The sequence below is a fragment of the Homo sapiens genome, chromosome 15 (assembly GCF_000001405.40).
Source record: "Homo sapiens chromosome 15, GRCh38.p14 Primary Assembly".
NCBI classification, from domain to species: Eukaryota; Metazoa; Chordata; class Mammalia; order Primates; family Hominidae; genus Homo; species Homo sapiens.
This window is the reverse complement of record NC_000015.10, coordinates 98,730,642-98,749,504: the sequence shown is the minus strand read 5'-3', so window position 1 is coordinate 98,749,504 and position 18,863 is coordinate 98,730,642. Positions and strand designations below refer to the sequence as shown.

General features: G+C 43.5%; 1 protein-coding gene across 7 annotated transcripts in view, besides 1 other annotated feature; it reads right to left on the bottom strand.

Moving 5' to 3' along the window:
• The window catches only part of IGF1R (insulin like growth factor 1 receptor), a 315,992-nt gene that overhangs the window by 215,026 nt on the left and 82,103 nt on the right, over window positions 1-18,863 (bottom strand). The window lies entirely within an intron of this gene.
• Window positions 14,586-15,116: an enhancer, noted in NCBI's record as "OCT4-NANOG hESC enhancer chr15:99277618-99278148 (GRCh37/hg19 assembly coordinates)". NCBI's record gives its function as "activates a minimal SCP1, AML or CMV promoter by ChIP-STARR-seq in naive H9 embryonic stem cells {active_cell/tissue: H9 hESC(naive)}" and the evidence as "EXISTENCE:reporter gene assay evidence [ECO:0000049][PMID:30033119]".

The following is an 18,863-nucleotide window of genomic DNA, read 5'->3' as shown; positions in this document are numbered from 1 at the left end:
AGTGCTTAATAAATTAATCAATTAGTCTTGATGAAATTTCTCAATTGCGTTACCAGGTAACCAGCCCTCAGATTACCTGGTAAACATACTTCTAAGAGCCATGTTGTTTAAACTTGATTAAATGTCAGAATGACCCAAATCACTTTGGGTCACCAAGACCAAAGAGAAATACAAATATTTAAGATACAGCTTTACCTTTTACCTTGGCACTAAAAAGAGCAGCATATCCCCTTGGCTGTCTAACAACAAGGTAAGCACAGAAACAAGAATTTTAAAAATAGGCAAATTAAAGGGTATTTACGTAATAAAAAGATTTATTCTGTAAAAAAAAAAAAAAGGATTTATTAAATTCTACTGCAACTATGCTAAGCCTACCTAAATGAAATTTTTTAAACAAGGAAAGAAATAGGCAATAGTGTCCTCCAAGAACAACAAAACTTGAATAACGGGCAATTGACAGGCCCTTAAATAATGCACAGTGGAGGTCTCATGGAAAGAAAAGAGATAATTCCCACCCTGACCACAGCACACAACCCCTTTAAGATATTCCACGTGCAATATGTGAGTGTCCAGTGGAGTCTAAATGTAGCTTACATAGTACCTCCTCCTGGCTCTTAATTCTAACAACTTCTGGAATAACCACTGTAGCTACTGAAAATCAAGTCCTAAGGGTAGAGCAAGAATGGCTCAAGAATAAACGCAATTAACTAAATGTTTGCAGTGAAGATACCAACTTACATATATCCATTGCCAATGGACTAACTACTTACATGGCAAAAAGTGTTCACATACTCTGAAAGCTGACAAAGGCCAGTGAGTTCTACAAGTGAATATTATAAGTCATAGAAGCGATTTGTTTTAGATCCTACAGTTTTCTAATTTTCCAGTTTCCTACAGTTTTCCAATTTTCCAATTCTGGAGTGCAAGTCAATAGAAAATGACGATTTGCACGCTCATTTCCACTTTACACATAATTGCTAAAGAATGCACCTAATGAGTAAAGAAATTAAAAGGTGTGAAAGTGTACACGGACTGCATGTGGTGGCTCACGCCTGTAATCCCAGCACTTTGGGAGGCTGGGGAAGGAGGATCACTTGAGGCCAGGAGTTTGAGACCAGCCTGGGCAACACAGCAAGACCTCCATCTCTACAAAAATAATAATAATAATAAATTTGCTGGGCAAGGTGGCTTATGCCTGTAGTTCCAGCTACTCAGGAGGCTGAAAAAGGAGGATCCCTTGAACCCAGGTGTTTGAGGTCCCAGTGAGCTATGACTACACCACTGCACTCCAAAGTGGATGACACAGCAAGATCCTGTCTCTAAAAAATTAATCAATTAATACTTAATTAAAAGTTGTGCATGCAGAAGTAAATATGAAAGCATTATATTTGTCACATGAGAAACATTTCTCTGATAGAAATAAGAAAATCAGAAATAAAAATTAAGGGAAGCATTTTTAGTTTTGGAATTATTCAAAAGGTAATTTATCTCTTTATCTTCATTTATCTCTTCCAAATATATTACCGAAATCTTTGGCCTAACGAATCCACACCCCTCTCCCAACACACACATGAAATATATGTAAATCAGTTGGCTACTTATACTAATGCTATAGGTGATATTTTTAAGCGTCAGTAAGTATTTTTAACAGTCATTTCCCAACAAATTAGTGATACTCAGTACATTATAATACATTCAAACCAAATTTGGTCATAGTATCATCTCTCTCTAGCTCTTGAGAAATACAGCAGAACTTTATAGACTCTCCAAAAAGTCCCGACCACAGAGTGTCAACCCACCATTTAACTCACTGTCCAGAGGCTTTTTTAAAAATCTCCAAATCTCCTTCTAATCCACTAATCTCTTCAGGACCACCCGACACAGTTCTCATGCTCACATACCTCTGCTTATAAGATTTAGTCGTCAGAGGGAATCTAAGATGCAAAATAACCTATATTCAATTAATCGACTTGGCACCAAAAATAACTTACCCTGATTTATTACAAATTGAGTAGTGCCAGGGCACAGTGGCTGTAATCCCAGCACTTTGGGAGGCCGAGGCGGGCGGATCACCAGGTCAGGAGTTCGAGACCAGCCAGGCCAACATAGTGAAACCCTGTCTCTACTAAAAATACAGAAAATTAGCTGGGTGTGGCGGTGGGTGCCTGTAATTCCAGGTACTCAGGAGGCTGAGGCAGGAGAATCACTTGAACCCGGGAGGTGGAGGTTGCAGTGAGCCGAGACCATGCCATTGCACTCCAGCCTGGGTGACAAGAGTGAAACTCTGTCTCAAAAACACAACAACAACAACAACAACGACAAATTGAATAGTGTAAGTGTATAAATGAATGGGAACTGATAGAGCTATAGTTTGAAGAGCAAATTGCTGGAGTTGCCGGCTTGATTTTACATTACACTGCACTTACATTTTCTCCTGAACATTTGGCACTAGAGAGTTAAATAACTGATAGCTTGAAACAATTAATCACAGCGATCCACGCACCTGGTGAATTACGAGTTCATCCATCAAGAGAGCATAGGTTCAACTCAAGAGATATGATGTAAGAACAACACAGCTCCAAAGCCATGTGTCAGAGTTTCTTTGCCAACCATAATTAGTGAAATTACTGACACCATTCAAGTGCCAAGAGGTTCAAAGAAATAACGAACAACACACACCCATTTAGCCCTTTGAATTCTTTACCACATGCACCTGGGGGCCTCAACTCTCAAATTAAAAGGCAAAACACAACAACCAAACAAGCAAGTTCTTTTGAAACCCAAGGGGAAATTTAATCAGCAGACCTTGTGACTTGAACAATGACAAGGAAAAGGAGACCAAAGGAGAACAAGTTCATGTTGTCTGGAAATATTCCTTTCTGCAAACTAAGAAAATATCTAGTTTTGCCTCCACTGGTGTAGATGATTTTAGAAGCACTCAGGACTGTGGGGAAGACACTCATGGAGCAGGGGCTGCCGGGATGACTCATCTGAGAGGCGCCCTGACAGTGTACAAGGTGTGCTAAGTTACACTAAAAAGACATCTATCCAGGAGGCATGCACTCACACCTTTTGTTTGGTTTTCCGGCAAGTCTGCAAGAATGCCATCCAAGAGACCAACCTAGACAGAGTTCCAGAGAACCCTGCACCTGAGGAGATAGCACTAAGTTTTGATACATAATGCAAGCACAGACTTTTAAAAATGATACAAAGATGTACACTGAGGTGTGTCACTCCCATACCTGTCCCGACCTAGATGTTTCCCCACCTACCCCGGTGAATCATCGTGTTTTTCAGTTACTTGGTTTCCCTTCTAGTGTCAGTCTGCACAAATACAAGCAGATGCAAACATGCAGTCTTATTTACCCTCCTTAACTTTACAAAAAAGAAGCCTGCCTTGCCTTCTCCACCTAATATACTGGAGATCTATTCACAGGGGTGCAGGGCATACTTGTGGTTTCTCTCAGCAGCAGAGCATTCCATTTTGTGCATATATCTTAGTGTATTAACCAGTCTCCCACTGAAGAACACGTGGGTTATTTCTAACGTATTACTATCAAAAACAATGCTGCAATTTGTATGTGGGCAGGTGTATTGGTAAGATAAATTCCTAGAAGTAGAATTTCTGGGTCAAAGGTAACACGCATTTATAACGCCAATTTGCCTTCCATAAAGGTTGTACCGTTTTACACTCTCAACAGCAATGTATAAGAGTTCTTGTCTCCCTGGAGTCTTGACAAGAGACTGTTGATAAATGTGTAGATTTCAGGGCAGCTTTAAGCCTCGGAACAGGAAAGAGAAAACGGAAGTTTCTCCAAAGATGAATTTGAAAAGCTGTCAGGAGTTTCAGCCATCTTTCATAAAGAAATCTTCAATTCCTCAAAGATTTTTTTTTCACTCCTTTATCCTCAGGACATCATAACAAAACCACAGAGGTGTCCTGTTCCTGCCCTACCAGGGCCCCATTCAGGCCAGTTCTGATGTCCTCTCTTATTTCAAGTGAGAGGCAAGAAAGACAGGAGAAGGAACCCAGGAGACAGGGCTCTGCCACTTAGGAGCTCCTGACTGGGCCACCGGCTTTCTGTCTCTGCACCACCCAGCTTCCTCACCTGTAACAGGTAGTCAGCGATGACACACAACCACATGGGGCCACTAGTGGGGAAGTGCTTAGTGCGGCTAGTGACACAAGGCACATCCTCCAGGAAAGAATAACTGGTGTCATTTTATAATAAAGGCATGGCCATCATTTTGTAATATCAAGAGTGTAACAAAGTATAATTTAACTCCTGTAATTCAGTAGAAAGCTCAATCAAGTAAATGGATACACAGATACTGTTGCTTTACTTGAGAAGCATGACTTCCTTCTCCCTATATTAGCTAATACTGATAGAAAAAGAAGTGACCATTCAAACAAATGCAACCATCCCTTAAAACATGAAGTTCATGTTCAATTCTACTAGGCTAAAAAAGTCATAAGAGAGTTACTCCCAGACCTCCAGGTCAGAGGACAAGGCTACGATTCAATCCTGGCTCCTCTCAGAGGCAGCAGAACAGGAGGAAAGGAGCCCAGCACTAGTCCTCCTCCTGAGGGACTCTGGGAATGTTTCCTGGCCTCTCCAGGGCTTAGGGTCCTCATCCATCAAATGAGGAGAATGGTAGTTTCTTCTCATAAGGTTTGATAAGGATCAAACAAGGAAAGCATATACAAAGTTCATCACAAACGCCAAAAGAAAAAAAAAAAACAGAGCAGTTTGCATTACCGTCATGTTTAAGGGGCCATCTGTCCTTCCTCTTACCATCCAAAGCTAATCCCTCCATCTGTGCTTTGGCCTGTCCTCAGACCTCTGGGTCCTTACTGGAGCTCTCCCCTTCTGTCTCATGGATCCACCCTTCCCTCTCAGCAGAGTCCCTTCCATGGACTTTTAGCCCCCCTCTATCTCTGTTGGGGAAAACAAGATCCACATTCCACCTCTGCTCCTCCCTGGCTGCCATCCCACCTCCCCTGTGCACAGCCATGCTTCTCTACTTCTTCAGTTCCTCCCCTCCCCACAGTATTCCTCCCTCTCCAGAGCTGCTTCCAGCCATCACTTCATTCATCAGCTCTCAGGTGAGGTCCTCAAAGGCCTCCCCTCTTGCAAGACCCAGTGGAGGTCTTCATTTCTCACTCTGCTTGGCTTCTTAGTGGCTTTTAGCACGTTGTTCTCCTTAAAACCCTCCTCTCTCCCTGGAAGCCTGGCCATCACACTCGCATGCTTTCCTCGCTGTGCTGGAGCCACCTGGGTCCCTTTACAGCTCATGATCCTCTACCTGGCCCTTGAACGCTGACGTCCCTTTAAGCTCCATCCCCAGAATTATCTCATGTGTGTTTCTACTTTCCAGGACCACCTAAACCAAGTCACTGCTGGGAATTCCTTCTCGGCACCAGTCCACATTTCCAAATGCCTGCTTGACTCAGAAGTGTCTCAAACCCAGTATCTGCAAAAATCAAACTCATGCTCACAGTCCCCACCTGATCTTCCTCCAGCATCTCCTAGCTCAGTAATGGGCATTGCCATAGTTGTCATCCAAGCCAGAATCCTGGACATTATCTTTGATATCCTGCTCACAAGCCCACCCCCAACACAGGCCTGGCCAATTTTACTTCCTACTCTCTCTGCAGTCAACTTATCTCCACCACTAGTCCAAGTTCACTTTGCCTTTTGCATTGCCTACTCCAATTGCTTCCTGATTGGCTTCCTCCCTAATCTATTCTTTACACTGTGGCCAGGATGAATTTTTTAATGGAAATATGACACATACCCCACCTCTGTTTAATGTTCTACACTAATCTCCCACTGATCCTTTGGTGAAGACAAAACCCTCAACATGGCTTCTGGGGCCCCATGTGGCCCGCCTCCAGGTTCCCCACCTTTCCACCCCAAACCCTTTCCACATTATTTCTTTTCCTTCTTGGTCTCATGGCATCATGTCTGGCCTTTGTGGGATTCAGCACACATACAATGTTCTATTTGTTTGTGGCTGGGGTGATTAGGGTGTCTCCGACAGTTAGTCGAACAGTTGTATAGAGATGCCACTCTACACAAATGACTCCAGGGTGCCTAGTGGGCATTTACTAGGTATTCACGTAATGAATGAACAAGGAGATGAGTGACTCACTGGCCCAGCCCTACTCCAAATGACATGAAAATTCGTTACCTCAAAGGTACATTGTAAGAACTTGGTAGTATACCTGTGTCATGGAAACACAGTTTATTGTGTTTCCATTTCTAAATCTTATCCACAACAAATTGTTTTTTAAAAGTAATGAATTTCCGTCTTACTTCCCGTATGTTTAAATCCATCTAATTTGTACTTTATTTTCAAAAGTTAGAACACATTAGGACTAGTCACTGGTAGAAAAGGAAGTAAAAGAAAAAAATAACGAACAAAACCTATTTACTATGATATCATGATTACCACAACACACTGTTTCCTTAAGGGATTTACACTGCACTCGCTGGAGTGCAATGACACAATCTTGGCTCACTGCAACCTCCTCCTCCCAGGTTCAAGTGATTCTCCTGTCTCAGCCTCCCGAGAAGCTGGGATTACAGGCACCCACCACCAAGCCTGGCTAATTCTTGTATTTTTAGTAGAGACGGGGTTTCACCATGTTGGTGTCAAACTTCTGACCTCAGGTGATCCACCCGCCTCAGCCTCCCAAAGTGCTAGGATTACAGGTGTAAGCCACCACATCCGGCCCATTGTGAGTGCAATTAGATGCAGGCAAGCCAATGTTTGTAACAAGTAAAAACAATATCACTTTGAAACAGTCCAAAATGATCAGTACTACTTTTTGGTTTTTAAATATAAAATTTAAAATGTGAACTTCAGCAAATTGTATGCTAACAACATAACACAGGAGTTCTTACCTTCTGGCTGGGACTGTTTCAGATCAAGCCACACTAGCCTAGGGTTAACTCTACAGAATTATTTTAATCCCTTTGGAAAGTGTTACAAACACTGCCACTGTGTCAGAGCTCCTCCACCCGCGTAAAGATGCTCCAGGAGCAGCCCCAGCCCTCGTCCACCTTGCCCCCCACCACAAGCATCTCCACACCTCAGGCAGACCAAGCCTCTCACCACTCCTGCTGGCTATATGAATGATCAATAGCAGCACTAGTTATGTGGGGTTTATTTTCAAATTTTATTAAATTCATCATTTATCCATGAACTGATCTGTTTTAGATCTGGCTTCATGCTGTCCATACTCCAGGCCTAGGCTAACCTTGAACAGATATTTAACAGGATATGCTGTGAGAAGGCTGGATACACTCCTCCGGAATAAGATCTGATGTTTAAAGAGGTTCTCCCCCAACCCAGCTGAATGTCAGGTGAACCATTTCAGAACACAGCTAGGGAAGAAAACACTAATAGCCTTGGCTTAGCAGGGACAGACCAATTCTTAAAGGGCTAAGTCAAGTTCCCTTGCCTCACAATGACTTAACTTTGACCTCCCACTCTGTTCAGCTACTACCACAAACTAGGCACCTCAATCCTTTCAAGCATACTGCAGGTCTTTCTTGAATACATGTGCACATGTATACAGGTGTGCATATACGAACACAAACAAATTACATAGAAATCTAGACATACAACTGCCTACAGTTTTATTACTAACCACATGAAAATCCCCATGGAGGAGGAGAAAAACAGAGACATGCCTTTAAATTTATTAAAAGTTTTACACCAAGACTTGATTTTATGTCTTCATGACAATTCTTTGCATACAGTATCTCCTGGGAAAACCCAACAACTCTCTGCAAGACTCTCTAGTTTGCAAAAGACTCTACAGAAGAAGAAATGCGGGAGGACGGAGCAGTGCTGGACTAGCTCTGTTCTTCACCCTTGTTCCCCGACGTGCAGAAATGCAGCACCTGAGAGTCCATCAATGACCTGGAAAGACTTGGCAATTTATTCTCAGAGAAGGGATTGTGTTTTTGCTAAGAGGATGCTATTTTCCAACATGACCCCTCTGGGTGTCTGGTAAAAGGCAATACAATACACAGCCTCCCACTACCTGCTGAAGAAGAAAAAGCACAAATCAGGCAGCGAGACCAAATGGCAAAACTATTTCCAAAAAAGGAAGTATCTTACCTAACCCTAAAAGAAAGCCACTTCTATACGTAGCATCTAAAAGTTTCTGGAAGTGATACAAACTAAAAAGCCAAGAGTTTTTCAGCTTGCATAGGTATCTTGTTACCAAAAAAAAAAAAAAAAAAAAAAAAAAGCTCAGGAAAACTATATAAAGCCATATCAACAGAACTGCAATGGAGACAGCTTAATGGAAAGGAAAATGGACATGTCAACACGAGAGTGTCTGCTAATAATTTACCCAAGAGAGTCATTCTAAAAGACAAAGTTTAGAAACATGAAGTCAACCCACAATTTACACAGCGTAAAGCTTTTTAAAAAAATAAAATGTTAAACATTATCACTCTTTGTATTTCTATTCAGAAAGAATTTTTTTTAAACCACAAATACACTCAACTGAGATTTGCCGACCAGCAAAGCTATCCTTGAGGAATACTACACTTTTGACAAAGTGGAGTTTCCCTAGAAAATTAAATTTCACTAAATATCTTTTAAAAGCCAGTCCAGATACATAAGAGAAAGTAGGGGAATAGGGTTGTGGGGATGCCAAGGAATGGGGAGAAGCATTTCCTAAGCCAGCCACCTTGTTTAAACTGTGTGGATCCTAGAATGTTTTTAACATGTGCAGCTCGAATGGAAGCTACACAGCACAGAGATTTTAGGATCTTCCTTTATCCTGCCTCCAAAATACTACTAACCAAATCTGTGCCCTACAGATATGGTAAGCCGCATATTTATTGTTAATAAAACATTTCCCCTTGCTGTATTTTTCCCCCTCAAAAAGAGAAATCCTACTTCTCTCAGACACATCGATTTCTTGTATCACACGTAACTAACCACAAAAGCCTTTTCAGCTTTTACTGTGATTTGGCAGCAAGGCTGCAGCAAATTCTGAAACTTGGGTTTCGATGGGTGTGCTTCAAGACTCTGTTTGGGTTTCTTATTTATTGTTTTGCCTTCTTAAAAGCTTCAGATCCTTGACCTGTTAAATGCTTTTTCAGCCTGCATTTACTCTTAGTCCCATTTATCATCTTAGAGAATGGCCATGATATTCTCTAAGGGAAAAACTGGCAGAGAAGAGTTAATAAAGCCCCAAGAGTGGCACAGTGGATTAGCCATGCACAGAGGTGTGTAAATCAGAGCAAAACCACGTGGCAAGCAAAACAAATGAAGGAATGCTAAGGCATTTTAAAACATCAAGATTACTAACCCAAAACTTTCAGCCTTAATGCTTTTATTTTCCGAAGTAAATAATGGATTATAGTATTTTAAGTAGAAAATGGCACTATCTACGCATGCTCTGAAATTTATTCCCTAGGCGTGAGCAGTCGTCAACACGCAGAGTTCTTCACAGAATGGTGAAATCTTGCCCCTCCATAAATGTACACTGGAGAGGAGACTAAGACCTACACTGGGTACCTTCACAGGAATCCTGTTCAGATCACATTTCCCATCCTAAGTTTAATATTTTCTTACAGCAGGCCAGGCGCGGTGGCTCAGGCCTGTAATCCCAGCCCCTTCGGAAGCCAAGGTGGGCAGACTGCTTGAGCTCAGGAATTCGAGAACAGCCTGGGCAACATGGTGAAACCCCATCTCTACTAAAAATATGAAAATTAGCCACATGTGGTGGCGTGCACCTGCAGTTCCAGCTACTCGGGAGACTTGAACCTGGGAGGCAGAGGTTGCAGTGAGCCAAGATAGTGCCACTGCACTCCAGCCTGGACAACAGAGACTCTTAGTTTCAAAAAAATTTTTTTTTCTTTTTAGCAAAGGTACCATTTTTCACAGGCTATTTTCTACTTTCATAATCATCTCATAAAGGCAGTATAGGTTCAAAAGGCAAATTTTTAGGAGACAACCTGATCAGCCACCAAGAATCGTTTTTGATTTGGTATCAAAAGACATAACATTTGATCAGTTTGCAATTTTGTTTGGGATAAATATCCACAGTGATACTTTGACTCTGAAAAAACATCAAAGTGCCGCTTTGGGGGAGATCATGAAAACACAGCACGCAGGCCTAAGAGTTGCTAGGAAGGCTATGACAGACGGGACAGCAGCAGGTTCTCTCTCAAGACTAGACCGTCAACAGAGCATGCAGAGAAAGAGGCACAGAGGCTGTTGCTTCACAAAACTGAGGACGGTCAGGATCAGCCACCACCACTTCCTGGATGTTTCTGCATAGTTCCCAAGTCAAGCATTAACCAAGGTCAATTCTGTCTAAAATGCACGAAAAGCCCAGCTCCTGCACAGCACAGCCACAGCATAAAAATAGTGAACACACTGTTTCCACACTCACTTATAACCAATGTTTTTAAAGCAATGCAAACTCTGAAGTTGTGAAGCAAGGCAAGATGTCACTCAGACCTCTTGAGTTTTGTTCTTCCTGTTGTTTCTTTGTGTTTTGGTATGTAAGAGTATACATCTTAGAGTTTGGAGGGTATGACTGTACAAGTGTAGCCACTCAGGGTGAGAAAACATGTGCAAAAGCATTTTGACGAACATTCTATTGTCCTGAATGTAAACTGGAGTTAATTATACCTACCTTTCATGGCTGCGGGAAGAATCCAGTGAGTACACTGGGGAAATGACCGGCAAACTGTGAAATGGGATAGTCAAGAGAATGCTGGGCATTACCAAGTATTCAAGTACAGAGTTGAATTTCCAGTTATTTTGGTCTTTTATAACCTTAATAGAGAAATTCACCTGAAAATGAGATCTGAGATTTAGCCACACAAATCCTAAATGGGGGGGAATCTGAGCCTCAGACAGACACAACTGCATAGTAATACACAAGTCAGGACTAAAATCCTGTGGGATAATTTTATCTTGCTTTGGGGCAGAGTCTCACTCTGTTGCCCAGGCTGGGGTGCACTGGTGTGCTCACAGCTCACTTTAGCCTCGAACTCCTGGGCTCAAGTGATGTTCCTGTCTCGGTCTCTCAAAGCACTTGGATTATAGGCAAGAGCCAACCTGCCCAGGTCCCACTGATCACTTTAAAGCCCGCTCATTTAGAAGAAAGATCTTCAAGCTAGGCAAGGTGGTGTGTGCCTGACACCAACAGTCCCAGCTAATTGGGAGGCTGAGTCGGAAGGATCCCTTGAGTCCAGCAGTTTGAGTTCAGCCGGGGCAAACTAGTGAGACTCTATCTCCTGGCCTTACAACGGGACCAAACTGTAGAATAAACCATGTTTTACCCCGGTAAAGGGTAACCTGTTGCCTATCATAAGACTCTCTGAATAAGTTTAGATATAAGCAGGCCCATCTGTCATAGGATTTTAATCTAGATACAGGAGCATGACCAAGCTATATAGAAAAACCTGCAGCAACAACCGCACCCAGCGGAAACAGCCTGCCTAGAGCCACCATCCACCTCAGAGCAGCAGACCTTCATACACAAGGCAGTGGGAACGGCTGCGGGACCAGGAATCACTTTTGCTCCTAGAGCAGACATCAAAGGCCTGAGTCGGCTTTGACCTGTCAGTGCAGCACGAAGGGCACAAACCCAGAGGGCTGACTGGAGACCCTGAGCAAGAGAGAGAGAGAGGCACAGAAGACGACAGAACTTTCCACCCCTTCCCCCTCCACACCTCCTCAAGGTCTCTTTCTCCCTCCACTCTACCTCATCATCTCAGCAGGCTCCAGCTATTACAAATACATGATGAAAAAAAGCTTTTCTCAAACCTGCTTTTCTTCGCCCTAAGATATTGTGGGGACGGGGCAAAGAGGGAGAAGAAAAATGAGAACAAGGTAACTTTTCGAAGTCTTTTTTAAATTAAATTTTTAAAAAAATTCCAATTGAGAAACATACCTGAGAACAATTCAGAATTTATTTGACAGGGCTCAAACTTGGGAGTTCTGTGACTCAGCCCACTCTTTTGGGTAAGTCCTACCCAAAACAGTATTTCTAGCTCCTATCAGCTTACTCCACTGCTCTCAGGCCAGAGGCAAGTCATGTTCTTGGCAGAACAAACGCAAGGGTTCCAAATCCTCGCTCGGTTCCTAATCTCCACATTGAAAGACAATGAGGAGCCAACTGGTCACCAAAATGTCACCAGCCAAACACTTCAACATGCTGCCCCAGAGAGAATGCCACGCTGGGGTTCCCAAGACGGTGGATGGCACAGAGCAGCTGCCGCCTGTTCCCATCCTCATTGTTTACCACTGTGTAAGTCAGATGAGTGCAGGAAGTAATTAAACACAAGAAATCACTGCAGGTACCATGTGCACACACAAAAAGCCATTCCATTTTAAGTCCCTGTAGAGGGGGTGTCCCTCTCAAAACACTCAACTCCCCAAAAGACTATCTTCAGGGACTGGGTCGTTTCCAGAAAATCGACTGACTTTGAATACATCTTAGTTCTACGAGTCTTGGCAATTCACAGATGCTTCTAAAACAAAAAGACTGTTACCATGTTGGGGTGTGGTGAATTGTTGTTCTCTTTGAAAATACTCCCACCAGCCAGGCTCGGTGGCTCACGCCTGTAATCCTAGCACTTTGGGAGCCCGAGATAGGCGGATTGCCTGAGCTTAAGAGTTCAAGACCAGCCTGGGCAACATGGTGAAACGTCGTCTCTACTAAAATACAAAAAATCAGCCAGGTGAGGTGGCAGATGCCTGTAATCCCAGCTAATCAGGAGGCCGAGGCATGAGAATTGCTTGAACCCGGGAGGCAGAGGTTGCAGTAAGCCGAGATCATGCCACTCCACTCCAGCCTGGACAATAAAGTGAAACTCTGTCTCAAAAAAAAAAAAGAAAAAAGAAAAAAGAAAATATTCCCACTAATTAGGAAAATATATGCAGCCCCCTTGCAAAGCTTTTAAAAGGAAGGAGTGCCTTTTTAAATGTGGCCTCCAATTTCACGAAGTTACGATATCACCCTGTAAACAGACAGCATCTAATGCTGACTGCCTACCACCCCCCATAAAACTGAAAGAGAAGAAAGCCTTATCCATGTCTCACCAATAACTGTTTATCCAGTGAGTTATAAAAGAAGCCACTGGGTTTTTATTATCCAAGCTTTTAGGACAGTTCAAGTTCAATACACACAATGTTTCATTCATGCTGTTAAATTGATAATATTAACCTTTCTTGCTGAGATGCATTAAAAATTCTGGCTTTTCAGAGCAAATGTAATTAGTTCACATTAGTAACTTCACCAGCAGCAGCGACAGAAGCAAAGTGAACTAACAGGATATGGATTAATGTAATCAAAATATCATCTCCCATCATCGCCACTCTTTAGGCAGCTGGCTACACTTCCTCTCTTGGTTGGATTGTTTTTCTTTTTAATAAAAATGATACATCAATGAAATGGATGCATAACTACTTGTAATCCCCCCTCAGGGCAGTACTGTACAGGAAACCATATTGGTGAGTGATCCCAAAAGTTTTAATTTGATGTGTCTGCTTAATACAATTTTGACATCTGAGCAATGGCTCAAGGCTCTTTCAGGGCACAGAGCTTTGGGAGGAGGCAGGAGGAGCCTTGGAGGAAAGGAAGGAGAAGCCAGAAGCAGTACATGGCTTCTAGAGCACCACTGTAAGTATCCCACGAAGATAAAAAGTATCTCCCTCTCTAAATACTGTATCACTAAGAGAAATAAATCAAAGTGGTGTGTTTGCTCTTTGAAGTAGCTCCAATGCGATCACACATCAAAATATATTTCTGCAACCCTGTACTGCCCAGCCATAGTGGGTGTTTGCTATTTTGCGACCCTCTTTCTTGAATATCCACATTTTCTCCTAAGGGACCACCTTGTCCTCCTTCTTCCTTACTGAGGCCGGGAACCTCATGGCCTGGGCTGGCACATCAGAGCATCTTTCTCTGGAACACACTGGTGGAGGGCAGTGGCCTAGCACTATCACGGCTAGAGACCTCTTGAAACAGGTCTGTGCCACTGGAACAGATTGCTCACCCTTGGGTACTGAACCTGAAGGTGGGGATGCAGGGTTAAAGTTGTAACAACCCTTTTGCTACCACCTGGATCCTTAGAATGAAGACAATATGCAGGTGGGCAGAGTCACGGGGAGCCCCCAGTGGACTTCCTGAAGCCACTCTTAGACTCTTCCATTAAGTGGACCCACAGTGCTCTTTTCCGCTTGAGCCAATTGAAACGGGCTTTCTTCCCTGGGAAATGAAAGTCAAGGTACTTCACACAACACATTTTTGACAGGGACATAAAACCCTACCTGGACTGAAACGAGGGGTGGTCACCTCTCCCCAGGCTGCAAAACCCCAGACATGGGACAAGTCAGTTAACAGCACTTCCACCTTCCCCAGCTTCGGAACTTGTGGGTGAACCCTGGCCACAATCTAATCAGCACTGCCATTAGGACCTTTCAGGGTCTCACACAGGACCAGGAAGCAGAAATAAGAAGGATACCGCTACCCATACTTGTTTTAATGCAAGAAACTGAAAGTAGAGTGATAGAGTCCTTCTTTAGGGCCAGTGTTTACATACAGGCTGCATAGAAACCTGAACCTACAATTCGTCTTGGCATAGAAGGGAAATACCCAATTGACAACAACATAAAAACTTTTAAAAAAGCAAAAATCACACTTAGAAGAAAAGTTATTTCATAGCTCCCCCAAAGACATTATAAATAGGAAGTCACCACATGAATTCAGTTCTCCAAACTCAGGGAAGCCTCCAAAGGTTACACAATCGGCCTCCTGGCAACATTAAAACACAAAGGGCAGTTAATGTTCAGAATGGTAGTCACCAATTAGTCCAAAACACACACTTACTTAGCAAGCACATACCTCTGCTTAAGCTTTGAGCTGCTCTGTTAGCATTTGGCTAAGCCTGAAGTGACACAGGTTCGGGGTCAGTGACTTTACTGCGAAGTTAATGTCACCTTTACGAAACCTCCATGGGTATAAACTCTGTAAGCCATTCTGGGCAGTGCTGGGTACAACCAAAAGGCATAAACATGCTATTTTCTCTCCGTATGTTTTCATTTGAAGAAAAAAAAATAGGCATGAGAAATATTAAGACTTAACCAAGGCCGACTTACTCTGAAGTAAAAAAGGATGCATTTGTAGCCAACCATTTTAATTTTTTTAAAAAACACGGAAAAAAACATTGGCATGTCCTATGGCTTCAGGTTAATACTACTGAGCAGAATGCCTAAACGAGAATACCTGGTATTATGCCCAGTTACAAAGCCTGAGCGATCTTCCCATTAAGTGACACCACTGTTGGAAAATACAAAACCCTGAGAAATTACAGTGCAACAACAATTTCAAATGAAAATAATCATCTAGTTTTGATTTATACGATGCGCGCTCTTTTACATCTAAGAATTGCAGCAGATACGGTCAGCATCTGAGGGTCCTACGAGGCAGGCTAATGTTACCTATGGCTCGGAACACTAATCAATCGCCACTACAGTGTGTTTGCAAAGGACTTCCGGGGTATGTAATATCAGCTCCTGTTATGGCCCTGGCTGTTAGTAGATCAAATGTACTAAATTATCTAGATATAAGACTTTTGAGAAAGGGGATGGAAGAGATGATTAGGGGCAAACAAAACAAATCCCTGGGCTTTGCCTCCCGAAGACAGCTTTCAGTAGATTATTTGGGATCCCAAGCATGTGATTTCAGAAACAGAAGTAGCTTGCAAACAGTCCCATGTTCCACCTAGATCTTGTTAAGACCTTACAGTGGGGGGAGGTCTACCACTTCTCATCTTCATCAGGTAGTCAGACAGCAAACTGATTCTACAAATCAGCTTAATGATTTTGGAGGGCTCTTCACTCAAATGACTATGCTGGGGGCCATGCAATAGCAGTGGAGGCTCCTCGGAGAGGGAATTCCCCTGAGATCCTCTGGCCTCGTCTGGACCACATGGGGGTTTGGAAGGGGGAAAAAAAAAAAACCTTCTCAGCCAGGTACAGTGGCTCATGTCTGTAATCCTAGCGCTTTGGGAGACTGAGGTGGGAGGATAACTTGAGCCCAAGACCCCATCTCTATTAAAAATTAGCCAGGCATGGGGGTATGCACCTATAGTCCCAACCACGCAGGAGGCTGAGGCAGAAGGATCACTTGAGCCCAGAGGCAGGAGGCTGAGGCTGCAATAAGCCATGATTGCCTCTACTGCACTCCAGCCTGGGCAACAGAGCAAGACTGTCCCAAAAAAGCCCAGGAAGAACCTGAGCCCTTCAAAACAACCCCTTTTATTGGAGACTCGGAGGAGCCTTCAGACCCAATCCTCGGATCACTGTGGTGGTTCCATCGCCACCAAGGTCTGCTGAAGCCTCCCTGCATGGGATACGCCAGGTGTTCACCCACACGTAGACATCTTTCTGTGTAGCAGCTACTCCTTATAGAATCTAAAAGACAAACATGTATCCTTGAAAAATGGGCTCGCGTGAGGGGTGCTCCTTTCTTTTAACTCCCTATAACCAACCTCTTCCCTTGGGAGTCGTCCCACTGACCCCTCCCAAAGGGGTGGCCCCCTTCCCAGTGATCCTTCCCCACTGGGATAACTCCCAAAACAGGTGTCCCAGGATCTCCCTCTCTGCAGCCAGGTCAGTGTTTCCAAAAACCTCCTAGACCAGCTCACTCCCCTTGCTCGTGCCACAAGCACCTAAACTCAACAACTCAACAGCACAAACATTCTCCCCTGTCAAACTCCTACCCTTTGTTGTTTCCTATCCTAGTTAATGGCAAGGGTGGTCATCTTCTCCAGTCAGTCTCCAGTCATCCGTAAGCTCATTGCTTTTCCTCTACCTGCCCCAACTTCATCCTTCACCAAGTCTTGCTGTATCTATCTCCAAAAGGCCTCCGACCCCCTTCCCCATGCTCACTCCATAGCAATGGCATCTGCCTCCACCCACGGCTCTGCCAGCTTCCCTCCTTCCCCAGACAGCTGCCAGAGACCCTTCAGGAAACACAGATCTGCTCGTGGCACTGCCCTGCTTCACCGTCACTGCCTGTAAAGTCAGGTCCAGTCTCCTAGGGAAGGCAGACAGGGCCACAACTGGTTTCCGCCAGCATTCTCACCTTCATTCTTAGAGGACATCTGCCTGAATTGACTTATCCTTATACTCAGCCTTTATTCACCTACCCCACAATCTCTGGTACTTGGCAAACTCCTCTGCATCCTGCGAGGCCCTGCTCCTAGGCAAGTCTTCCCCTGCCCCCTCCACACCAATCTACCCCTTCTCCTGCTTCCTGTGGCACTTTGCACAAAGCTCTAATAAGATATGCACCACACTCCCATTTGGTTGGTTTCCATGTCAGCCTCCCCACAGGGAGATTTCCCCAGAAGTGTGGCTGTGTCTATTCATCTTCAGATCCCCAAAGCTGAGCTCAGTAGTTGCAGAGGCGGAAATCAGCAAATGTTTGCTGAATACGAATGCTGCACGCCCAACACCCAGAGCTTGGGGGTGAAGACTGTCTCTCTGAGAGGAATCCAACTGGTCTCAAGCTACACACTTGGCCAAGTCAGGCTCTCCCAATGCAAGCAACTCCAGTCAACACGCAGCACCAACCACCACTACTGCAGGCAAACATGCTGTCAACTGTCACTGCTAACCACATTTTCCAATGGTTTGCTTCCTGGCCTAGACCAACCGGCTCACGGCTATGTACAAGCCTCCAACCTGTATGCCTCTAACCAGAGAAGAGCTAACACAGCTTTTAATTATGACCCTGGGGTTCAGTAGCGTGAAGGGGGCAGCACCAAGCCCAAAGGGTGCACTGTCCTCTCACGTGTCCACACGACATTCAGGGAAATGGGATACGCTTTGTGCCAACACCCACCCCTCCCTAGAAGAGGCACTAAATCCAGCCACAGAGCTGAAGAGCACTACCTGCAGTTTCGATACACAGATAAGTAAGAGCAGTTATCAACGACGATTCACCTTTCATCATAACCCATCTTTTGGAAAGTTCACTGAGAGACAGAAACAAGGAGGAGAATGAACCAAAGTCATATGAGGGGAAAATGGAACCCTTTTAAAAATGCTATTCATTCTTAGGGGTTAATAATTACATGGATAGATGATTTACGCAGAGGAGAAAAATGCAGCCAAGCAGTGAGCCCCTAATAAGTATTCGGGATTTGACCAAAACGTTCCTTCAGTTGCTATTAACTATAACACTGAAGAAAGGATTCACACATCCCATGACATCTATTTTTATAGCACAGGGCCCAGAGTTAGCCATATCACTTTTAATGACTTGAGATTCCAGAAGAATTATCACTACGGTAACATTTCAAAATGGCCATCAAAGTTACCAGGCACCAGGCCACAACAGTTTGGATCTCATAGGGCCTTTTAGAACAGACCAAGTTATTTTCAAAATTCATCTAATTGATTCCACATTCCTAACACAGCCTTGCTGGAAGTTAGCTAATGGGGTTATTGACAAGGATGAATTAACAGAAAGAGCACTCAAATGTTATCTGTTTCCACTCCGAGTCAAGCTCTTCTAATCATAAGCCACCAGAAAATAATTCATCGGTGACTACAATGATGTGATAATATTCTTTAATATTTCTGTAAGCATTCAAGGAAAAATATGAAAAAAAAATACGGGAAGGTATCAAGTTTGCCATTATTTTTGTTACTTTAATAACTGACTTGAAATTATTTTACAAATAAAAAGTTGATAAAAATTACCCAAGATACAGATCTCGAATATTTAAAAATGCTTACAGATGAACAATGAAACACATCATGCTATTGGGAACATATACTCAAATTCTTAAATTCTT